This window comes from Homo sapiens, chromosome 11 (assembly GCF_000001405.40).
Source record: "Homo sapiens chromosome 11, GRCh38.p14 Primary Assembly".
In the NCBI taxonomy this organism is placed as follows: Eukaryota; Metazoa; Chordata; class Mammalia; order Primates; family Hominidae; genus Homo; species Homo sapiens.
The window spans coordinates 63312667-63338445 of record NC_000011.10 but is presented as its reverse complement, the minus strand read 5'-3'; the positions used below and the strand labels follow the sequence as shown (position 1 = coordinate 63338445).

Sequence of the window (25779 nt, the reverse complement as noted above, 5' to 3'; positions counted from 1 at the left end):
TACCCAGTAATGGGATGGCTGGGTCAAATGGTAGTTCTAGTTCTAGATCCCTGAGGAATCACCACACTGACTTCCACAATGGTTGAACTAGTTTACAGTCCCACCAACAGTGTAAAAGTGTTCCTATTTCTCCACATCCTCTCCAGCACCTGTTGTTTCCTGACTTTTTAATGATCGCCATTCTAACTGGTGTGAGATGGTATCTCATTGTGGTTTTGATTTGCATTTCTCTGATGGCCAGTGATGATGAACCTTTTTTCATGTGTCTTTTGGCTGCATAAATCTCTTCTTTTGAGAAGTGTCTGTTCATGTCCTTCACCCACTTTTTGATGGTGTTGTTTGTTTTTTTCTTGTAAATTTGTTTGAGTTCTTTGTAGATTCTGGATATTAGTCCTTTGTCAGATGAGTAGGTTGCAAAAATTTTCTCCCATTTTGTAGGTTGCCTGTTCACTCTACTGGTAGTTTCTTTTGCTGTGCAGAAGCTCTTTAGTTTAATTAGATCCCATTTGTCAATTTTGGCTTTTGTTGCCATTGCTTTTGGTGTTTTAGACATGAAGTCCTTGCCCATGCCTATTTCCTGAATGGTAATGCCTAGGTTTTCTTCTAGGGTTTTTATGGTTTTAGGTCTAATATGTAAGTCTTTAATCCATCTTGAATTAATTTTTGTATAAGGTGTAAGGAAGGGATCCAGTTTCAGCTTTCTACATATGGCTAGCAGCTTTTCTAAGAGAGTCCGCCCCAGCATACCTCTGCCAAGTATTTATTGAAAGGGCTTGTTAAACAACAAACATCTACTAGATGGCTTTTTTGACATCGAGTAGTGAGACACCTGTGGCCTTATAAAAGCACTCAAACTGCATTCTCAGGAGGCTGTTTTCAGCGTTCCTTATCATACTACACATTCCACTCCCTGTCCTGTTTTTAAGGTCAAGAATTTTCATTCTTATGCACAAATAACATACACACGGTGCCTCAGCATTTTTCCATGCCCCGACCTAAAATGCCGTGTACGTAAGCTTGAATATGTTGCCATGCACCCCCCACAGAATATTAGAGTTTCACAGCAGCTTACCACCCCTCAGTAGAACCTGATCAAAGCTCCTTAACATGACCTGATTTGTTTCATTATAGCAGGCTTCTAACTTCCTCTCTAGTTTCCATTTTTGTCATTACCTGACCTTTATCACTCAGGTCTCAGCTTAAACATAACTTTCCCTAAGAGGCTTCCCCTAGACCTGTAGGTAATATTAATAACCACTCTTACTCCATAGTAAGTGTGGTTCTCAAACTTGGCCATGGACTGTAAACATTTGTGATCTTGTAAAAGTTTACTGAATCCTGAATTCACTGCACTCCTTCTCCTATGACTGCTCTGCGGGTACAGTCTAGGCATGGAGGTTTTGATCAACCTTCCAGATGTTTTTAATTTGCGACCACAGGCTGAGACTTACTGACCTAGCATAACATTTATAACAGAGGCATGAATTACTTGCTTAAACTTTTGTCTGCCCAAGAATAAAAGCACTATTATAACAGGGTGCATTTCTACTTTTGAATTCATTAGCCTCATAAAATATGTATGTGTCTGGCATTTAATAGAGTAGCACTTAATATTTGCTGAAAGAATGAAGAATAAGTATCTACATGTGACCAAAGGCTGGAAGCATGGTTATTACGTGTGCTATTTATAAAAACCCAGGGCAGTGCTCATGAAAGGAAAACAAGGCCTCTTACCTCAGTCATGTTGGAGAAGGGAAAGGAGCTTCTGTCATACACCCAGCCATTTACACATGATTCCGTGTCTGTCTCACCTATGTTGAGAAATGTCCCATTCAGGTGAAAGAGCTGCCATGGGATGGATGAAGTGATGACACTTCTCTGGCCTCAGGTTTGAGTTGACTGAGATTCTTGGGAGGGCACTCTGGCTGAGGGTGAATTTTCATCATGACCAAGTGGGATTTATCAAAGGGACGCAAGAATGGTTTAACATATGCAAATCAATCAATGTGATACATCATACCAAGAGAATGAAGGGCAAAAACCATATGATCATTTCCACTGCTGCTAGAAAAGCATATGATAAAATTCAACATTCCTTTATGATAAAAAGTCCTCGGATGAACTGACAGATGTAGGCTTCAGACGGTGGCTAATAACAGACTTTCCTGAGGTAAAGTAGCATGTTCTAACCCAATGCAAAAAAGCTAAGAACCAGGATAATAGGTTACAGGATCTGCTAACTAGAATAACTAGTTTAGAAAGGAACATAAATGACCTGATGGAGCTGAAAAACACAGCACAAGAACTTCATGAAGTATAAACAAGAATCAATGGCTGAATCAATCAAGTGGAAGGAATAATATAAGAGTTTGAAGACCATCATTATAAAATAAGGCAGCAGACAAGATTAGAGAAAAAAGAACCAAAAAGAATGAACAAAACCTGCAAGAATTATGAAACTATGTGAAAAGACGGAACCTACAACTGACTGGAGTACCTGAAAGAGACGGGAAGAATGGGACAAAATTGGAGAACACACTTCAGGATATCATCCAGGAGAACTTCCCCAACCTAGCAAGACAGACCAACTTTCAAATTCAGGAAACACAGAGAACCCCACTAAGATACTCCACAAGAAGATCAACCCCAAGACACATAATCATCAGATTCTCCCAAGTTGAAATGAAGGAAAAAACACTAAAGGCAGCCAGAGAGAAAGGCCAGGTTACCTACAAAGGAAAGCACATCAGGCTAAGAGTGGATCTCTCAGCAGAAACCCTACAAGCCAGAAGAGAGTGTGTGTGTTGGGGGCAGAGTGGGCAATATTCAACATTCTTTAAAAAAGAATTTTCAACACAGAATCTCATATGCTAACAAACTAAGCTTCATGAGCAAAGGAGAAATAAAATCCTTTTCAGGTAAGCAAATGCTGAGGGAATTCATCACCACCAGGCCTGCCTTGCAAGAGCTCCTGAAGGAAGCACTAAATATGAAAAGGAAAAACTGGTACCAGCCACTGCAAAAGACATAAAAATATACAGACCAATGACGTTATGAAGAAATGACATCAACTAGCATGCAAAATAACCAACTAGCATCATGATGACAAGATCAAATTCAAACATTACAATATTAACCATAAATGTAAATGGACTAAATGCCCCAATTAAAAGACACAGACTAGCAAATTGGATAAGGAGTCAAGACTCATCGGTGTGTTGTATTCAAAAGACCCATCTTACATGCAAAGACACACAGGCTCAAAATAAACAGATTGAGGAAAATTTACCAAGCAAATGGAAAGCAGAAAAAAGCAGGGATTGCAATCCTAATTTCTGATAAAACCAGAACGTTACATAATGGCAAAGGGATCAATTCAGCAAGAAGAACTAACTATCCTAAATAGTTAGTTAATATACTAAATATATGCACCTAATACAGGAGCACCCAGATTTACAAAACAAGTTCTCAGAGACCTACAGACTTAGACTCATACACAATAAAAGTGGGAGATTTTAACACCCCATTATGAATATTAGACAGATCACTGAGACAGAAAATTAACAAGGATATTCAGGACTTGAACTCAGCTCTGGAGCAAGAGGACCTAAGAGATATCTACAGAACTCTCCACCCAAAAACAACAGAATATACATTCTTCTCAGTGCTACATGGAACTTACTCTAAAATCGACCACATAATAGGAAGTAAAACACTCCTCAGCAAATGCAAAATAACTGAAATCATAACAAACGGTCTTTCAGATCACAGTGGAATCAAATTGGAACTCAAGATTAAAAAACTCACTCAAAACCACACAAGTACATGGAAATTGAACAACAGGCTCCTGAATGACTGCTGGGTTAAAAATGAAATTAAAGCAGAAATCAAGAAGTTCTATGAAACCAACAACAACAACAAAGAGACAATGTACCAGAATCTCTGGGACACAGCTAAAGCAGTGTCATGAGGAAAATTTATGGCACTAAATGCCCACATCAGAAAGCTAGAAATACCTGAAATCAACATCCTAACATCACAATTAAAAGAACAAGAGAAGCAAGAGCAAACAAAGCCAAGAGCTAGGGGAATACAAGAAATAACTAAGATCAGAGCAGAACTGAAAGAGATAGAGACATGAAAACCCCTTCAAAAATCAGTGAATTGGAGGGTGGAGCCAAGATGGCCAAATAGGAACAGCTCCAGTCTACAGCTCCCAGCCTGAGCAACACAGAAGACGAGTGATTTCTGCATTTCCAACTGAGGTACTGGGTGCATCTCAGTGGGGATTATCAGACATTGGGTGCAGGATAGTGGGTGTAGTGCACCGAGGGTGAGCCAAAGCAGAGCAAGGCATCGCCTCAACCAGGATGCACAGGGAGTCAGGGAATTCCCTTTCCAAGCCAAAAACAGGGGTGACAGATGGCACCTGGAAAATCAGGTCACTCCCACCCTAATACTGGGCTTTTCTGATGGTCTTAGCAAATGGGACACCAGGAGATTGTATCCCACACATGGCTCAGAGGGTCCTACACCAATGAAGCCTCCCTTATTGTTAGCACAGCAGTCTCAGATCAAACTGCAAGGCGGCAGCAAGACTGGGGGAGGGGTGCCTGCCATTGCTGAGGCTTGAGTAGGTAACCAAAGCAGCTGGGAAGCTCGAACTCTGTGGAGCCCACCGCAGCTCAATGAGGCCTGCCTGCCTCTGTAGACTCCACCTCTGGGGGCAGGGCATAGCCAAACAGAAGGCAGCAGAAACCTCTGCAGACTTAAATGTCCCTGTCTAACAGCTTGGAAGAGAGTAGTGGTTCTCCCAGCATGCAGCCTGAGATCTGAGAACAGAGAGACTGCCTCCTCAAGTGGGTCCCTGAGCCCCAAGTAGCCTAACTGGGAGGCATCCCCCAGTAGGGGCAGACTGACACCTCACACGGCTGGGTACTCCTCTGAGACAAAACTTGCAGAGGAATGATCAGGCAGCAACATTTGCTGTTCACCAATATCCGCTGTTCTGCAGCCTCTGCTGCTGAAACCCAGGCAATCAGGTTCTGGAGTGGACCTCCAGCAAACTCCAACAGACCTGCAGCTGAGGGCCCTGACTGCTAGAAGGAAAACTAACAAACAGAAAGGACATCCACACCAAAACCCCATCTGTATGTCACCATCATCAAAGACCAAAGGTAGATAAAGCCACAAAGATGGGGAAAAGACAGAGAGAAAAACTGGAAACTCTGAAAATCAGAGCACCTCTTCCCCTCCAAAGGAAAGCAGCTCCTTGCCAGCAACAGAACAAAGCTGGATGGAGAGTGACTTTGACAAGTTGAGAGAAGAAAGCTTCAAATGATCAAACTTCTCTGAGCTAAAGGACGAAGTTCGATCCCATTGCAAAGAAGCTAAAAACCTTGAAAAAAGATTAGGTGAATGGCTAACTAGAATAATCAATGCAGAGAAGTCCTTAAAGGACCTGATGGAGCTGAAAACCATGGCACGACAACTACGTGACAAATGCACAAGCCTCAGTAGCCGATTCAATCAACTGGAAGAAAGGGTATCAGTGATGGAAGATCAAAAGAATGAAATGAAGTGAGAAGAGAACAAACCTGCACGTTGTGCACATGTACCCTAAAACTTAAAGTATAATAATAATAAAATTAAAAAAAAAGAATGAAAAGAAATGAATAAATTCTCTGAGAAATATGGGACTATGTGAAAAGACCAAATCTACGTCTGATTGGTGTACCTGAAAGTCACGGGGACAATGGAACCAACTTGGAAAACACTCTGCAGGATATTATCCAGGAGAACTTCCCCAATCTAGCAAGTCAGGTCAACATTGAGATTCAGGAAATACAGAGAACACCACAAAGATACTCCTTGAGAAGAGCAACTCCAAGACACATAATTGTCAGAATCATCAAAGTTGAAATGAAGGAAAAAATGTTAAGGGCAGCCAGAGAGAAAGGTCGGGTTACCCACAAAGGGAAGCCCATCAGACTAACAGCAGATCTCTCGGCAGAAACTCTACAAGCCAGAAGAGAGTGGGGGCCAATATTCAACATTCTTCAAGAAAAGAATTTTCAACCCAGAATTTCATATCCAGCCAAACTAAGCTTCATAAGTGAAGGAGAAATAAAATCCTTTACAGAAAAGCAAATGCTGAGAGATTTTGTTACCACCATGCCTGCCCTACAAGAACTGAAGGAAGCATTGAGCATGGAAAGGAAAAACTGGTACCAGACCCTGCAAAGATGCCAAATTGTAAAGACCGTCAAGGCTAGGAAGAAACTGCATTAACTAATGAGCAAAATAACCAGCTAACATCATAAAGACAGGATCAAATTCACACATAACAATATTAACCTTAAATGTAAATGGGCTAAATGTTCCAATTAAAAGTCACAGACTGGCAAATTGGATAAAGAGTCAAGAAGCATAAGTGTGCTGTATTCAGGAAACCCATCTCATATGCAGAGACACATATAGGCTTAAAATAAAGACATGGAGGAAGATCTACCAAGCAAATGGAAAACAAAAAAAGGCAGGGGTTGCAATCCTAGTCTCTGATAAAACAGACTTTAAACCAACAAAGATCAAAAGAGACAAAGAAGGCCATTACATATTGGTAAAGGGATCAATTCAACAAGAAGAGCTAACTATTCTAAATATATATGCACCCAATACCGGAGCACCCAGATTCATAAAGCAAGTCCTTACAGACCTAGAAAGAGACTTAGACTCCCACACAATAATAATGGGAGACTTTAACACCCAACTGTCAACATTAGACAGATCAACGAGACAGAAAATCAACAAGGATACCCAGGAATTGAACTCAGCTCTGCACCAAGTGGATCTAATAGACATCTACAGAACTCTCCACCCCAAATCAACAGAATATACATTCTTCTCAGCACCACACTGCACTTATTCCAAAATTGACCACATAGTTGGAAGTAAAGCACTCCTCAGCAAATGTAAAAGAACAGAAATTATAACAGTCTCTCAGACCACAGTGCAATCAAACTAGAACTCAGGATTAAGAAACTCACTCAAAACTGCTCATCTACATGGAAAATGAACAACCTGCTCCTGAATGACTACTGGGTACATAATGAAATGAAGGCAGAAATAAAGATGTTCTTTGAAAGCAATGAGAACAAAGACACAACATACCAGAATCTCTGGGACACATTCAAAGAAGTGTGTAGAGGGAAATTTATAGCACTAAATGCCCACAAGAGAAAGCAGGAAAGATCTAAAATTGACACCCTAGCATCACAATTAAAAGAACCAGAGAAGCAAGAAAAAACACATTCAAAAGCTAGCAGAAGGCAAGAAATAACTAAGTTCAGAGCAGAACTGAAGGATGTAGAGACACAAAAAACCCTTCAAAAAATCAATGAATCCAGGAGCTGGTTTTTTGAAAAGATCAACAAAATTGATAGACCGCTAGCAAGACTAATAAAGAAGAAAAGAGAGAAGAATCAAATAGACGCAATAAAAAATGATAAAGGGGATAACACCACCGATCCCACAGAAATACAAAGTACTATCAGAGAATACTATAAACACCTCTATGCAAATAAACTAGAAAATCTAGAAGAAATGGATAAATTCCTGGACACATATACCCTCCCAAGACTAAACCAGGAAGAAGTTGAGTCTCTGAATAGACCAATAACAGGCTCTGAAATTGAGGCTATAATTAATAGCTTACCAACCAAAAAAAGTCCAGGACCAGATGGATTCACAGCCGAATTCTACCAGAGGTACAAAGAAGAGCTGGTACCATTCCTTGTGAAACTATTCCAGTCAATAGAAAAAGTGGGAATCCTCCCTAACTCATTTTATGAGGCCAGCATCATCCTGATGCCAAAGACTGGCAGAGACACAACAAAAAAGAGAATTTTTGACCAATATCCCTGATGAATATCAGTGCAAAAATCCTCAATAAAATACTGGCAAACCGAATCCAGCAACACATCAAAAAACTTATCCACCATGATCAAATGGGCTTCATCCCTGGGATGCAAGGCTGGTTCAACACACGCAAATCAATAAACATAATCCAGCATATAAGCAGAACCAATGACAAAAACCACATGATTATCTCAATAGATGCAGAAAAGGCCTTTGACAAAATTCAACAGCCCTTCATGCTAAAAACTCAATAAATTAGGTATTGATGGGACATATCTCAAAATAATAAGAGCTATCTATGACAAACCCACAGCCAATATCGTATGAATGGGCAAAAACTGGAAGCATTCCCTTTGAAAACTGGCACAAGACAGGGATGCCTTCTCTCACCACTCCTATTCAACATAGTGTTGGAAGTTCCGGCCAGGGCAATCAGGCAGGAGAAGGAAATAAAGGGTATTCAATTAGAAAAAGAGGAAGTCAAATTGTCCCTCTTTGCAGATGACATGATTGTATATCTAGAAAACCTCATCGTCTCAGCCCCAAATCTCCTTAAGCTGATAAACAACTTCAGCAAAGTCTCAGGATACAAAATCAATGTGCAAAAATCACAAGTATTCTTATACACCAATAACAGACAAACAGCCAAATCATGAGTGAACTCCCATTCACAATTGCTTCAAAGAGAGTAAAATACCTAGGAATCCAACTTCCAAGGGATGTGAAGGACCTCGTCAATGAGAACTACAAACCACTGCTCAAGGAAATAAAAGAGGATACAAACAAATGGAAGAACATTCCATGCTCATGGGTAGGAAGAATCAATATCGTGAAAACGGCCATATTGCCCAAGGTCATTTATAGATTCAATGCCATCCCCATCAAGCTACCAATGACTTTCTCCACAGAATTGGAAAAAACTTCTTTAAAGTTCGCATGGAACCAAAAAAGAGCCCACATTGCCAAGTCAATCCTAAGCCAAAAGAACAAAGCTGGAGGAATCACGCTACCTGACTTCAAACTATACTACAAGGCTACAGTCACCAAAACAGTTTTGGTACTGCTACCAAAACAGAGATATAGACCAATGGAACAGAACAGAGCCCTCAGAAATAATGCCACACATGTACAAATATCTGATCTTTGACAAACCTGACAAAAATAGGAAATGGGGAAAGGATTCCCTATTTAATAAATGGTGCTGGGAAAACTGGCTAGCCATATGCAGAAAGCTGAAACTGGATCTCTTCCTTATACCTTATACAAAAATTAATTCAAGATGGATTAAAGACTTAAATGTTAGACCTAAAACCATAAAAACCCTAGAAGAAAACCTAGGCAATACCATTCAGGACATACGCATGGGCAAGGACTTCATATCTAAAACACCAAAAGCAATGGCAACAAAAGCCAAAATTGACAAATGGGATTTAATTAAACTAAAGAGCTTCTGCACAGCAAAAGAAACTACCATCAGAGTGAACAGGCAACCTACAGAATGGGAGAAAATTTTTGCAATCTACTCATCTGACAAAGGGCTAATATCCAGAATCTACAAAGAACTCAAACAAATTTACAAGAAAAAAACAATCAAACCCATCAACACGTGGGCGAAGGATATGAACAGACACTTCTCAAAAGAAGACATTTATGCAGCCAACAGACACATAGAAAAATGCTCATCATCACTGGCCATCAGAGAAATGCAAATCAAAATCACAATGCCATACCATCTCACACCAGTTAGAATGGCGATCATTAAAAAGTCAGGAAACAACAGGTGCTGCAGAGGATATGGAGAAATAGGAACACTTTTACACTGTTGGTGGGACTGTAAACTAGTTCAACCATTGTGGAAGTCAGTGTGGCGATTCCTCAGGCATCTAGAACTGGAACTACCATTTGACCCAGCCATCCCATTACTGGGTATATACCCAAAGGATTATAAAACATGCTGCTATAAAGACACATGCACACGTATGTTTATTGTGGCACTATTCACAATAGCAAAGACTTGGAACCAACCCAAGTGTGCAACAATGATAGACTGGGTTATGAAAATGTGGCACATATACACCATGGAATACTACACAGCCATAAAAATGATGAGTTCATGTCCTTTGTAGGGACATGGATGAAGCTGGAAACCATCATTCTCAGCAAACTATCGCAAGGACAAAAAACCAAACACTGCATGTTCTCACTTATAGGTGGGAACTGAACAATGAGAACACATGGACACAGGAGGGGAACATCACACACCGGGGCCTGTTGTGGGGTGTGGGGAAGGGGAAGGATAGCATTAGGAGATATGCCTAATGTAAATGACAAGTTAATGGGTGCAGCACACCAACATGGCATATGTATACATATGTAAGAAACCTGCACGTTGTGCACATGTACCCTAAAACTTAAAGTATAATAAAAAGAAATTAAATAAATAAATAAATGTGGTTAAAGTATAAAAAAATGAACAGTGCATTCTCAAAGGATGTCTCCTTATTTTTATGATAGAATATATATTGAGCAGAAAGTTTCTTAATTCAGTAAGACCCCTTGACAAGCTCATATGTATTGGTATTTCTATTGGTACTTTATAAAGTCACATTTTTATTTATATGTTAATAGTGTCCATTATTAGAATATCTAATTTATAATAAAATAATAGTTGGCAACATAAGAAAAAAAAATGAATGGTTCTCAAGAGACACAGGGCCAGAAATTAAAACTACTCAATCCCTCTAGGCCCAGGCACTATCATGGAAGATGTGGGCATGTGAGATTATAAGGGTCAATACTGAGTGATAAAATTACTTCAGAGTTTTTCTATAAATTAAACAGGAACATCAAAAGCACACTTATGCAAGGCCAGCATCTGGGCCCCTGTATCAGTTTAGCAAGGTTTTCATGGTGCATTGATCTGTTCTTTTATTTTTAAATTTTTATTGTAAAGCTTATTCATCTTTTGCTTTAATGTCAGTTTTTTTTTTGGTCTTCTTGTTTGCGAAGTTATATGTGTTTATCACAGAAACTCTAGAAATACAGAAAGAATGAATATCATATAATTCTGCCACCCAAAGAAAACCATGGTTAGCACATTGTTTGATCATTTTTAATGGTATATATATGTGGCATGACATTTCCTTTAGGAATGAAGGATCATAGTTGTACACACACAAACATTTAGTGACAGAGAGATGAACAAATGTTCTCTACTGTTAGGGAGTCTGTAGCTTGCTAAGTCAGAAACATGCAAGTTTATAAATATGTGCAATAAAGTGTTATAGTCTGTTGATAGAAGAATGTACAGGATAGAGTAGATGCCAAAGGAGGAGTGGTCATTTTTACCTGGGTGGGCCAGAAAATGCATCATCAAGGAGATGCCATGAGCTAAGCATGTGGGAAGAAGGGAGAACAAGCTCATCCAAAGGCCCCAGAGGCACCAAAATTTGTGGTGGTCAGAGAACTGAAAATTGTTTAATGCAGCCAGAATGTGGGTTGGTGGCAGGGGGAAGGTGAGGTACAATAAGAGAAAAGCCATGAAGCTGAGATATAAACTATCAGATGGTTTCAGGCTGGCCTCTTTTCCTAAATTGTTGTCTCTACCTTTCCTCAGGCACTTCTGTCTTGACAGTGTCATCTTGTGGCAATACTATCAGCCAGGGTAGACGGAACTCTTGAGGAAGTACAAACAAAACATAACACTTTGACAGTCTTTCTTCATTATGAGATAATGAGTTATTTTGTTTCCTTAACACTTGGCTGAAAAATCTGCTCCTGCTTTAGACTTCAACCAGGAAGAAATTACAGGATTTAGTTAGAAAAATGGATCCAAATGAGCTGCTAGATGAAGATGTGGAAGAGGTGGGGTTGTGGCCCCAAGAGCCAGGATATCATGGTGATTAAGGGCACAAATTTTATTTATTTGTTTATTTATTTTCTTTAAGTTCTGGGATACATGTGCCGAGCACGCATGTTTGTTACATAGGTACACATGTGCCATGGTGATTTGCTGCACCTATCAACCTGATATCTAGGTTTTAATCCCTGCATGCATTAACTATTTGTCCTGATGTTCGGCCTCCCCTTGACCCTCTCTGACAGGCCCTGGTTCGCATTGTTCCCCTCCTTGTGTCCATGTGTTCTCATTGTTCAACTCCCACTTATGAGTGAGAATATACAGTATTTGGTTCTCTGTTCCAGTGTTAGTTTGCTGAGGATAATGGCTTTCAGCTTCATCCATGTCCCTGCAAAGGACATGAACTCATTCCTTTTTATGGCTGCATAGTATTCTATGCAGTATATGTACACATTTTCTTTATCCAGTCTATCATTGATGGGCATTTGGGTTGGTTACATGTCTTTGCTATTGTGAATAGTGCCACAATAAACAAATGGGTGCATGTGTCTTTATTGTAGAGTGATTTATATTCCTTTGGGCATATACCAAGTAATGACATTGCTGGGTCAAATGGCATTTCTGGTTCTAGATCCTTGATAAATCACCAAACTGTCTTCCACAATGGGTGAACTAATTTACATTCTCACCAAGAGTGTAAAAGCATTCTTAGTTCTCCACAGCCTCACCAGCATCTGTTGTTTCTTGCCTTTTTAATAATCATCATTCTGTCTGGCATGAGATGATATCTAATTGTGGTTTTCATTTGCATTTTTCTAATGATCATTAATGTTGAGCTTTTTATCATATGTTTTTGGCCACATAAATATCTTCTTTTTTGAAGCATCCATTTATATCCTTTACCCACTTTTTCATAGGGTTGTTTGGTTTTTTCTTGTAAGTTTGTTTAAGCTCCTTGTATATCCTAGATATTAGACCTTTGTCAGGTGGGTAGTTGCAAAAATTTTCTCCCATTCTCTAGGTTGCCTGTTTGCTCTGATGGTAGTTTCTTTTGCTGTGCAGAAGCTCTTTAGTTTAATTTGATCCCATTTGTCAATTTTGGCTTTTGTTTCTATTGCTTTTGGTGTTTTAATCATGAAGTCTTTGCCCATGCCTTTGTCCTGAATGATATCACCTAGGTTTTCTTCTAGGGTTTTTATGGTTCTGGGTTTTATATTAAAGTCTTTAATCCATCTTGAGTTAACTTTTGTATAAGGTGTAAGGAAGTGGTCCAGTTTCAGTTTTCTGCATATGGCTAGCCAGTTTTCCCAGTACCAATTATCAAGTAGGGAATCCTTTCCCCATTGCTTGTTTTTGTCAGGTTTGTCAAAGATCAGACAGTTGTATATGTGTGGCCTTATTTCTGAGGTCTCTATTCTGTTCCATTGGTCTATATGTCTGTTTTTGTACCAGTACTGTGCTGTTTTGGTTATTGTAGCCTTGTAGTATAGTTTGAAGTCAAATAGCGTGATGCCTCTAGTTTTGTTCTTTTTGCTTAGAATTGTCTTGCTTATATGGGCTTTTTCTGGTTCCATGTAATTTTTAAAGTAGTTTTTTCTACTGCTGTGAAGAATGTCAATAGTAGTTTGGAGCAGTATTTATTCTATAAATTATTTTGGGAAGTACGGCCATTTTCGCAATATCGATTCTTTCTATCCATGAGGCTGGAATACTTTCCCATTTGTTTGTGTCCCCTCTTATTTCCTTGAGAAGTGGTTTGTAGTTCTCCTTGAAAATGTCCTTCACGTCCCTTGTTAGCTGCATTCCTAAGTATTTTATTCTCTTTGTAGCAATTGTGAATGGGAGTTCATTTACGATTTGGCTCTCTGCTTGTCTATTTTTTGTGTATAGAAATGCTTGTGATTTTTGCACATTGATTTTGTATCCTGAGACTTTGCTAACATTCCTTATTAGTTTAAGTTGTTTTTGGGGTGAGACAATGGGGTTTTCTAAATGTAGGATTATGTCATCTGCAAAGAGAGACAATTTGACTTCCTCTCTTCCTATTTGAATACTCTTTATTTCTTTCTCTTGCCCAATTGTCTTGACCAGAACTTCCTATACTACATTGAATAGGAGTGGTGAAAAAGGGCCTCCTTGTCTTGTGCTGGTTTTCAAAGGGAATGCTTCCAACTTTTGCCCATTCAGTATGATATTGGCTGTGGGTTTGTCATACATATCTGTTATTATTTTGAGAGGTGTTCCATAAATACCTAGTATATTGAATGATTTTAACAAGAAGGGATGTTGAATTTTATTGATGCTCTTTTCTGCCTCTATTGAGATAATCATGTGGTTTTTGCCATTGGTTCTGTTTATGTGATGGATTACATTTATTGATTTGTGTATGTTAAACCAGTCTTGTATCCCAGGGACAAAGCCAGTTTGATCATGGTGAATAAGCTTTTTGATGTTCTGCTGGATTTGGTTTGCCAGTGTTTTGTTGAGGATTTCCACATTAAGGTTCATCATGGATATTGGCCTGAAATTTTCTTTTTTTGTTGTGTCTTGCCAAGGTCTGGTATCAGGATGATGCTGGCCTCATAAAATGAGTTAGGGAGGATCCCCTCTTTTTCTATTGTTTACAATAGTTTCAGAAAGAATGGTACCAGCTCCTCTTTGTACCTCTGGTAGAATTTGGCTGTAAATCTGTCTGGTCCTTGGCTTTTTTGTTGTTGTTATTGTTGCTAGACTATTTATTACTGCCTCAATATCAGAACTCATTATTGGTCAATTCAGGGATTCAATTTCTTCCTGGTTTAGTCTTGGGAGGGTGCATGTGTCCAGGAATTTGCCCATTTCTTCTGAATTTCTAGTTTATTTTCATAGAGGTGTTTATAGTATTCTCTGATGGTTGTTTGTATTTCAATGGGGTCAGTGGTGATAGCCCCTTCATCATTTTTATTGTGTTTATTTACATCTTCTCTGTTCTACTTTATTAGTCTACCTAGTGTTGTATCTATTTTGTTAATTTTTTCAAAGAACCAGCTCTGGGATTTATTGATTTTTGAAGGGTTTTTCATGTCTCTATCTCCTTCGGTTCTGCTCTGATCTTAGTTATTTCTTGTCTCCTCCTAGCTTTTGACTTTGTTTGCTCTTGTTTCTCTAGTTCTTTTCATTGTGATGTTAGAGTGTCTATTTGAGATCTTTCCAGCTTTCTGGTGTGGGCATTTAGTGCTATAAATTTCCCTCTTAATACTGCTTAACTGCATCCCAGAGATTTGGTACATTGTCTCTTTGTTCTCATTGGTTTCAAAGAACTTCTTGAGTTATGCCTTAATTTCTTTTTTACCCAGGAGTCATTCAGAAGCAAGTTGTTCAATTTCCATGAGTTGTGTGGTTTTGAATGAGTTTCTTAACCCTGAGGTCTAATTTGATTGCACTGTAACCTGAGAGAAGGTTTTTTACGTTTTCAGTTCTTTTATATTTGCTGAGGAGTGTTTTACTTCCAATTATGTGGTTGATTTTAGAGTAATTGCCATGTGGCACTGATAAGAATGTATATTCTGTTGGTTTTGGGTGGAGAGTTCTGTAGATATCTATTAGGTCCACCTGATCCAGAGTTGAGTTAAAGTCCTGAATATTATTATTAATTTCCTGTTTCATTGATCTTTCTGATATTGACAGTGGGGTGTTAAAGTGTTCCACTATTATTGTGTGGGAGTCTAAGTCTCTTTGTAGGTTTCTAAGAACCTGCTTTATGAATCTGGGTGCTCCTGTATTGGATGCATATATATTTAGGAAAGTTAGCTTTTCTTGGTAAATTTTTCCTGCACTCTTTATTTTGAGTCTATGTGTGTCTTTGCACATGAGATGGGTCTCTTGAATACAGTACACTGATGGTTCTTGACTCTATCCAATTAGCCAGTCTGTGCCTTTTAATTGGGGCATTTAGCCTACTTACATTAAAGGTTAATATTGTTATGTGTGAATTTGATCGTGTCATCACGATGCTAGCTGGTTATTTTGCACACTAGTTGATGACATTCTTTATAATGTCATTGGTCTTTATATTTTCTTGTCTTTCGCTGTGGCTGGTACCAGGTTTTCCTTTTCGTATTTATTGCTTCCTTCAGGAGCTCTTACAAGACAGGCCTAGTGGTGATAAATTCCCTCAGCATGTGCTTATCTGAAAAGGATTTCATTTCTGCTTTGCTTATAAATCTTGGTTTGGCAATATATGAAATTCTGGGTTGAAAATTCTTTTTTTTAAGAATGTTGAATATTGGCCCTCCCTCTCTTCTGGCTTGTAAGGTTTCTGCTGAGAGATCTACTATTAGTCTGACGGGATGGGCTTTCCTTTGTAGGTAACCTGGCCTTTTTCTCTGGCTGCCATTAACATTTTTTCCTTCATTTTGACCTTGGAGAATCTGTTATTATGTGTCTTGGGATTGATCTTCTCATGGAGTATCTTAGTGGGCTTCTCTTGATAGGTTGGGAAAATTCTCCTGTATAATATGCTGAAGTTTGTTTTCCAACTTGGTTCCATTCTTCCAATCTCTTTCAGGCATGCCAATCAATCATAGTTTCAGTCTTTTTATATAGTTCCTTATTTCTCAGAGGTTTTGTTCATTCCTTTTCAATCTTTTTTGTCTAACCTTGTCTGCCTGCCTATTTCAGCAAGATAGTCTTCAGACTCTCATATTCCCTCTTCCACTTGATTGATTCAGGTATTAATACATGTGTATGACTCACAAAGTTCTTGTGTTGCATTTTTCAGCTCCATCTGGTCATTATGTTCCTCTCTAAACTGGTTATTCTAGTTAGCAGCTCCTCTAACTTTTTATCAAGGTTCTTAGCTTCTTTGCATTGAGTTAGAACATGCTCCTTTACCTCAGTCAAGTTTTTTATTACCCACTTTCTGAAGCCTACTTTTGTCAATTCATCCATTTCATCCTCTGTCCAGGTCTGCGCCCTTTCTGGAGAGGTGTTGCAATCATTTGGAAGTGAAGAGGCACACAGTCCTTTTCGGTTTTCAGCATTTTTTCATTGATTCTTTCTCATCTTCATGAATTTGTCTAGTTTTGATCTTTGAGGCTGCTGATTCTTGGATGAGGTTTTTGTGGAAACTTTTTTATTGATATTGTTGTTGCTTTCTGTTTGTTTTTCTTTCAGTAATCAGGTACCTCTTTTGTGGGACACCTATGGTTTGCTGGGGCTTCACTTCAGACTATATTCATCTGGTTTGTTCTTGTGCCGGGAGATGTCACTTGAGGAGGCTGGAGAACAGCAAAGATGGGTGCCTCCTCCTTCTTGAGATATCTGACCTCAAGGGGCACTGATCTCTTGCCAGTAGGAACATTTCTGTATAAGATGTCTGACAACCCCTTTTGGGGGGCCTGGGATTTCTGATCTCAAGGGGCACTGACCTGATGTCAGTAGAAACATTCTTGTATAGATATCTGACAACACTTGTTGGGGGTTCTCACCCAGTTGGGTGGCATGGAAATCAGGACCCATTTAATGAAGCACTTTTGGCTGTCCTCTGGTGGAGGAGGTGTTCTTCACTTGGGGGAATCCTACTCATCTAGACTGCCCCGATTCCTCAGAGCTAACGGAGGAAAGACTAAGTCTGCTGGTCTGCATAGACTACAGCCATACCTCCCCTTAGGGACTCAGGCCCCGGGAGATTAGAGTTCTGTCCCTGAGTCCCTGGCTAGAGTTGGAGTTCCTGCAGGGAGGCCCCAAAGCCACAGTGTTGACTGCCACCCCTCCCCCAAGGAGCTCAGCTGGATTACACAGGAGGCAGCCACAGCAGTGGCTATGGTAATAACAAAGTTGACTGAGCTAAAGGAGCATGTTCTAACCCAATGCAAAGAAGCTAAGAACGTTGATAAAAAGTTAGAGGAGCTGCTAACTAGAATAACCAGTTTAGAGAGGAACATAAATGACCAGATGGAGTTGAAAAATGAGCACAAGAACTTTGTGAGGCATACGCATGTATTAATACCTGAATCAATCAAGTGGAAGAGAGAATATCAGAGTTTGAAGACTATCTTGCTGACATAGGCAGGCAGACAAGGTTAGAGAGAAAAGATTGAAAAGGAATGAACAAAACCTCTGAGAAATATGGAGAGTTCAGAGTTCAGCCACCATAAACTCTGCAGGCTTAGGCTGATTCTAGCTGACTGGCTGTTGAGATTCTGCATGGCTCCTTGTTGGGACTCAAGGCCCTGGTGGTGTGGGCTCATGAGTGGAATCTTCCAATCCATGGGTTGCACAGTTTTGTGAAAAAAGCAGTTTTCCAGGCTGGATAACATGCTCACTCACCACCTCCCTTGGCTGGGGGTAGGGGTTCCCCTGCCCTGTGTGGCTCTCAGGTGGGCCATTGCACCACACTGCTCTTCCTTCCTTTCCGTGGATCATGCCAGGCACCTAGTCAGCCCTAATGACAAAACCTGGATACTTTGGTTGCTGGTGCAGGATTCGCATGCTGTTTTGGATCTTTCTGATGGGAGCCTCCAATCACCACTGCTTCTAGTCAGCCATCTTGGCTCCATCCCCCCAATCTGCTCTTCAACAGCAATTGTAAAAGGTCATTAAAAGTTTATGGAAATATTATGGTCAAACCAATTAAAATTAGATACAGTTGTTTATAAGGATTTATTAAAATTAGTTTTAACAATAATACACCATACAATAGTAAAATTTAGTTTTCTCTTTTTAAAACATTTTTAGGTAATATTAATAAGAGATGGTTCTGCTGTGATTTATCTTTGGTGGAAGTAGGAAACTGAAGAGAGAAATATTGTATTCCTGAAGAAAATTGTAGTATTAGATTAACCGTTGATTCCTGAGTGGCTAAGTGGTCACCCTTGGTGTGAAGTTGTCTATAATGCCCCTCCTTACCATGAAGCAGCCAGAAAGATCAATAACCAGATTCCCAATGATTGAGGAGCTGATAGATAAAATGGTCGGGGGGGGGGGACTGAAACTGGCCCAATTGTCCCATAGAACTGATGTTTATAGTTTCTTTGAATAAACGTAGAAATTGATCATCCCAGTTTTTTTTATGTTAAATGTAGAGTTTAATTGAGCCCAAAGCTTGAGGATGGCCACCCAGCAATACTGATTCAAGCTGCCCTGAATATGCACTCCTATTAGCAGCAGTTACAAGTGGGGTGGGTCTTTCTTTCTTTCTTTCTTTCTTTCTTTCTTATCACTCTTTCTCTCTCTCTCCCTCTCTTTCTTTCTTTCTTTCTTTCTTTCTTATCACTCTCTCTCTCTCTCCCTCTCCTTCTTTCTTTCTTTCTTTCTTTCTTTCTTTCTTTCTTTCTTTCTTTCTTTCTTTCTTTCTTTCTTTTTCTTTCCTTCTTTCTTTCTTTTCTTTTTCTTTTCGAGACAGATCTTGCTCTGTTGCCCAGGCTGGAGTGCAATGGTGCCTTCACACCTCACTGCGGCCTCGACATCCCTGGTTCAAGTGATCCTCCTTTTTCACTTCACCCTCCGGAGTAGCTGGGACTACAGGGGCACACCATCATGCCTGGTTATTTTTTTTAATTTTATTATTATTATACTTTAAGTTTTAGGGTACATGTGCACAATGTGCAGGTTTGTTACATATGTATACATGTGCCATGTTGGTGTGCTGCACCCATTAACTCATTTACATTAGGTATATCCCCTAATGCTATCCTTCCCCCTCCCCACAGCCCACAACAGTCTCTGGTGTGTGACATTCCCCTTCCTGTGTCCATGTGTTCTCATTGTTCAATTCCTATCTATGAGTGAGAACATGCGGTGTTTGGTTTTTTGTCCTTGTGATAGTTTACTGAGAATGATGATTTCCAATTTCATCCATGTCCCTACAAAGGACATGAACTCATCATTTTTTATGGCTGCATAGTATTCCATGGTGTATATGTGCCATATTTTCTTAATCCAGTCGATCATTGTTGGACATTTAGGTTGGTTCCAAGTCTTTGCTACTGTGAATAGTGCCACAATAAACATACGTGTGCATGTGTCTTTATAGCAGCATGTTTTATAATCCTTTGGGTATATACCCAGTAATAGGATGGCTGGGTCAAATGGTATTTCTAGTTCTAGATCCCTGAGGAATCGCCACACTGACTTCCAAAATGGTTGAACTAGTTTACAGTCCCACCAACAGTGTAAAAGTGTTCCTATTTCTCCACATCCTCTGCAGCACCTGTTGTTTCCAGACTTTTTAATGATCGCCTTTCTAACTGGTGTGAGATGGTATCTCATTGTGGTTTTGATTTGCATTTCTCTGATGGCCAGTGATGATGAGCATTTTTTCATGTGTTTTTTGGCTGCATAAATGTCTTCTTTTGAGAAGTGTCTGTTCATATCCTTCACCCACTTTTTGATGGGGTTGTTTGTTTTTTTCTTGTAAATTTGTTTGAGTTCATTGTAGATTCTGGATATTAGCCCTTTGTCAGATGAGGAGGTTGCAAGCATTTTCTCCCATTCTGTAGGTTGCCTGTTCACTCTAATGGTAGTTTCTTTTGCTGTGCGGAAGCTCTTTAGTTTAATTAGATCCCATTTGTCAATTTTGGCTTTTGTTGCCATTGCTTTTGCTCTTTTAGACATGAAGTCCTTACCCATGCCTATGTCCTGAATGGTATTGCCTAGGTTTTCTTCTAGGGTTTTTATGGTTTTAGGTCTAACATTTAAGTCTTCAATCCATCTTGAATTAATTTTTGTATAAGGTGTAAGGAAGGGATCCAGTTTCAGCTTTCTACATACAGCTAGCCAGTTTTCCCAGCACCATTTATTAAATAGGGAATCCTTTCCCCATTGCTTGTTTTTCTCAGGTATGTCAAAGATCAGATAGTTGTAGATACGTGGCATTATTCTGAGGGCTCTGTTCTGTTCCACCGGTCTATATCTCTGTTTTGATACCAGTACTATGCTGTTTGGTGACTGTAGCCTTGCAGTAGAGTTTGAAGTCAGGTAGCATGATACCTCCAGCTTTGTTCTTTTGGCTTAGGATTGACTTGGCAATGCAGGCTCTTTTTTGGTTCCATATGAACTTGAAAGTAGTTTTTTCCAATTGTGTGAAGAAAGTCATTGGTAGCTTGATGGGGATGGCATTGAATCCATAAATTACCTTGGGCAGTATGGCCATTTTCACGATATTGATTCTTCGTACCCATGAGCATGGAATATTCTTCCATTTGTTTGTATCCTCTTATTTCATTGAGCAGTGGTTTGTAGTTCTCCTTGAAGAGGTCCCTCACATCCCTTGTAAGTTGGATTCCTAGTATTTTATTCTCTTTGAAGCAATTGTGAATGGGAGTTCACTCATGATTTGGCTCTGTTTGTCTGTTATTGGTGTATAAGAATGCTTGTGATTTTTGTACATGATTTTGTATCCTGAAACTTTGCTGAAGCTGCTTATCAGCTTCAGAAGATTTTGGGCTGAGACAATGGGGTTTTCTAGATATACAATCATGCTGTCTGCAAACAGGGACAATTTGACTTCCTCTTTTCCTAATTGAATACCCTTTATTTCCTTCTCCTGTCTGATTGACCTGGCCAGAACTTCCAACACTATGTTGAATAGGAGTGGTGAGAGAGGGCATCCCTGTCTTGTGCCAGTTTTCAAAGGGAATGCTTCCAGTTTTTGCCCATTCAGTATGATATTGGCTGTGGGTTTGTCATAGATAGCTCTTATTATTTTGAGATACCTCCCATCAATACCTAATTTATTCAGAGTTTTTAGCATGAAGCATTGTTGAATTTTGTCAAAGGCCTTTTCTGCATCTATTGAGATAATCATGTGGTTTTTGTCATTGGTTCTGCTTATATGCTGGCTTATGTTTATTGATTTGCATACATGGAACCAGTCTTGCATCCCAGGGATGAGGCCCACTTGATCATGGTGGATAAGCTTTTTGATGTGCTGCTGGATTCGGTTTGCCAGTATTTTATTGAGGATTTTTGCATCGATGTTCATCAAGGATATTGGTCTAAAATTCTCTTTTTTGGTTGTGTCTCCACCACGCTTTGGTATCAGGATGATGGCTGGCCTCATAAAATTAGTTAGGGAGGATTCCCTCTTTTTCTATTGATGGGAATAGTTTCAGAAGGAATGGTACCAGTTCTACCTCTGGTAGAATTCGGCTGTGAATCCATCTGGTCCTGGACTCTTTTTGGTTGGTAAGCTATTGATTATTGCCACAATTTCAGAGCCTGTCATTGGTCTATTCAGAGATTCAACTTCTTCCTGGTTTAGTCTTGGGAGGCTCTATGTGTCGAGGAATTTATCCATTTCTTCTAGATTTTCTAGTTTATTTGCATAGAGGTGTTTGTAGTATTCTCTGATGGTACTTTGTATTTCTGTGGGATTGGTGGTGATATCCCCTTTATCATTTTTTATTGCATCTATTTGATTCTTCTCTCTTTTTTTCTTTATTAGTCTTGCTAGCGGTCTATCAATTTTGTTGATCCTTTCAAAAAACCAGCTCCTAGATTCATTAATTTTTTGAAGGGTTTTTTGTGTCTCTATTTCCTTCAGTTCTTCTTTGATTTTAGTTTTTTCTTGCCTTCTGCTAGCTTTTGAATGTGTTTGCTCTTGCTTTTCTAGTTATTTTAATTGTGATGTTAGGTTGTCTATTTTGGATCTTTCCTGCTTTCTCTTGTGGGCATTTAGTGCTATAAATTTCCCTCTACACACTGCTTTGAATGTGTCCCACAGATTCTGGTATGTTGTGTCTTTGTTCTCGTTGCTTTCAAAGAACATCTTTATTTCTGCCTTCATTTCATTATGTACCCAGTAGTCATTCAGGAGCAGGTTGTTCAGTTTCCATGTAGTTGAGCGGTTTTGAGTGAGTTTCTTAATCCTGAGTTCTAGTTTGATTGCACTGTGGTCTGAGAGACAATTTGTTATAATTTCTGTCCTTTTACATTTGCTGAGGATAGCTTTACTTCCAAGTATGTGGTCAATTTTGGAATAGGTGTGGTGTGGTGCTCAAAAGAATGTATATTCTGTTGATTTGGGGTGGAGAGTTCTGTAGATGTCTATTAGGTCTGCTTGGTGCAGAGCTGAGTTCAATTCCTGGATATCCTTGTTAACTTTCTGTCTCATTGATCTCTCTAATGTTGACAGTGGGGCGTTAAAGTCTCCCATTATTATTGTGTGGGAGTCTAAGTCTCTTTCTAGGTCACTCATGACTTGCTTTATGAATCTTGGTGCTCCTGTGTTGGGTGCATATATATTTAGTATAGTTAGTTAGCTCTTCTTGTTGAATTGATCCCTTTACCATTATGTAATGGCCTTCTTTGTCTCTTCTGATGTTTGTTGGTTTAAAGTCTGTTTCATCAGAGACTAGGATTGCAACCCCTGCCTTTTTTTGTTTTCCATTTGCTTGGTAGATCTTCCTCCGTCCTTTTATTTTGAGCCTATGTGTGTCTCTGCCCATGAGATGGGTTTCCTGAATATAGCACACTGATGGTTCTTGACTCTTTATCCAATTTGCCAGTCTGTGTCTTTTAATTGGAGCATTTAGTCCATTTACATTTAAAGTTAATATTGTTATGTGTGAATTTGTTCCTGTCATTATGATGTTAGCTGGTTATTTTGCTTGTTAGTTGTTGCAGTTTCTTCCTAGCCTGGATGGTCTTTATAATTTGGCATGATTTTGCAGTGGTTGGTATCGGTTGTTCCTTTCCATGTTTAGTGCTTCCTTCAGGAGCTCTTTTAGGGCAGGCCTGGTGGTGACAAAATCTCTCAGCATTTGCTTGTCTGTAAAGTATTTTATTTCTCCTTCACTTATGAAGCTTAGTTTGGCTGGATATGAAATACTGGGTTGAAAATTCTTGAAGAATGTTGAATATTGGCCCCCACTCTCTTCTGGCTTGTAGTGTTTTTGGCGACAGATCCACTGTTAGTCTGATGGGCTTCCCTTTGTGGGTAACCCGACCTTTCTCTCTGGCTGCCCTTAACATTTTTTCCTTCATTTCAACTTTGGTGAATCTGACAATTATGTGTCTTGGAGTTGCTGTTCTCGAGGGGTATCTTTGTGGCATTCTCTGTATTTCCTGAATCTGAATGTTGGCCTGCCTTGCTAGATTGGGGAAGTTCTCCTGGATAATATCCTGCAGAGTGTTTTCCAACTTGGTTCCATTCTCCCCGTCACTTTCAGGCACACCAATCAGACGTAGATTTGGTCTTTTCACATAGTCCCATGTTTCTTGGAGGCTTTGTTCATTTCTTTTTATTCTTTTTTCTCTAAACTTCCCTTCTCACTTCATTTCATTCATTTCATCTTCCATCACTGATACCCTTTCTTCCAGTTGATTGCATCAGCTTCTGAGGCTTCTGCATTCTTCACATAGTTCTTGAGCCTTGGCTTTCAGCTCCATCAGCTCCTTTAAGCACTTCTCTGTATTGGTTATTCTAGTTATACATTCATCTAAATTTTTTTCAAAGTTTTTAACTTCTTTGTCTTTGGTTTGAATTTCCTCCTGTAGCTCAGAGTAGTTTGTTCATCTGAAGCCACCTTCTCTGAACTCATCAAAGTCATACTCCATCCAGCTTTGTTCCGTTGCTGGTGAGGAACTGCGTTCCTTTGGAGGAGGAGAGGTGCTCTGCTTTCTAGAGTTTCCAGTTTTTCTGCTCTGTTTTTTCCCCATCTTTTTGGTCTTATCTACTTCTGGTCTTTGATGATGGTGATGTACAGATGGGTTTTTGGTGTGGATGTCCTTTCTGTTTGTTAATTTTCCTTCTAACAGACAGGACCCTCAGCTGCAGGTCTGTTGGAGTTTGCTAGAGGTCCACTCCAGATGCTGTTTGCCTGGGTATCAGCAGCGGTGGCTGCAGAACAGTGGATTTTCATCAACTGTGAATGCTGCTGTCTGATCGTTACTCTGGAAGTTTTGTCTCAGAGGAGTACCCAGCCATGTGAGGTGTCAGTCTGCCCCTACTGGGGGGTGCCTCCCAGTTAGGCTGCTCGGGGGTCAGGGTTCAGGGACCCACTTGAGGAGGCAGTCTGCCGGTTCTCAGATCTCCAGCTGCGTGCTGGGAGAACCACTGCTCTCTTCAAAACTGTCAGACAGGGACATTTCAGTCTGCAGAGGTTATTGCTGTCTTTTTGTTTGTCTGTGCCCTGTCCCCAGAGGTGGAGCCTACAAAGGCAGGCAGGCCTCCTTGAGCCGTGGTGGGCTCCACCCAGTTCGAGCTTCCTGTCTGCTTTGTTTACCTAAGCAAGCCTGGGCAATGGTGGGCACCCCATCCCCAGCCTCGCTGCTGCCTTGCAGTTTGATCTCAGACTGCTGTGCTAGCAATCAGTGAGATTCCGTGGGCGTGGGACCCTCTGAGCCATGTGCGGGATATAATCTCCTGGTGAGCTGTTTTTTAAGCCCATCGGAAAAGCGCAGTATTAGGGTGGGAGTGACCCAATTTTCCAGGCGCTGTCTGTCACCCATTTCTTTGACTAGGAAAGGGAACTCCCTGACCCCTTGTGCTTCCCAAGTGAGGCAGTGCCTCGCCCTGCTTCGGCTCACTCATGGTTTGCTGCACCCACTGTCCTGCGCCCACTGTCTGGCACTCCCTAGTGAGATGAACCCGGGACCTCAGATGGAAATGCAGAAATCACCCATCATCTGCGTCGCTCACGCTGGGAGCTGTAGACCGGAGCTGTTCGTATTCGGCCATCTTGGCGCTCTCTCTTTAATCTCTTAATCCTGTGATCACGTAAGCTGAGGAGGATGTATGTTGCCTCAGGACCCTGTGATGGTTGCATTAACTGCACAAGTTGTAGAGTACGTGTGTTTGAACTATATGAAATCTGGGCACCTTGAAAAAAGAACAGGATAACAGCAATGTTCAGGGAACAAGAGAGATAACCTTAAATTTTGACTGCTGTTGAGCCAGGCAGAACAGAGCCATATTTCTCTTCTTTTGAAAGCAAATGGGAGAAATATCGCTGAATTCTTTTTCTCAGCAAGGAACATCCCTGAGAAAGAGAACGCGCACCTGAGGGTGGGCCTCTAAA

General features: G+C 40.1%; 1 protein-coding gene across 2 annotated transcripts in view; it reads right to left on the bottom strand.

Moving 5' to 3' along the window:
- The window catches only part of SLC22A10 (solute carrier family 22 member 10 (gene/pseudogene)), a 73242-nt gene that overhangs the window by 24699 nt on the left and 22764 nt on the right, over window positions 1–25779 (bottom strand). Inside the window, exon 10 of one of the 2 annotated variants that reach the window (XM_047426920.1) lies at window positions 25468–25580. The exons of the other annotated variant lie outside the window; for it this stretch is intronic. Coding sequence (XP_047282876.1) covers window positions 25562–25580 — 19 coding nt within the window. The 3' untranslated portion in view covers window positions 25468–25561. Of the gene's footprint in view, window positions 1–25467; window positions 25581–25779 lie in introns of those variants that run through there. 2 annotated transcript variants of the gene reach the window in all.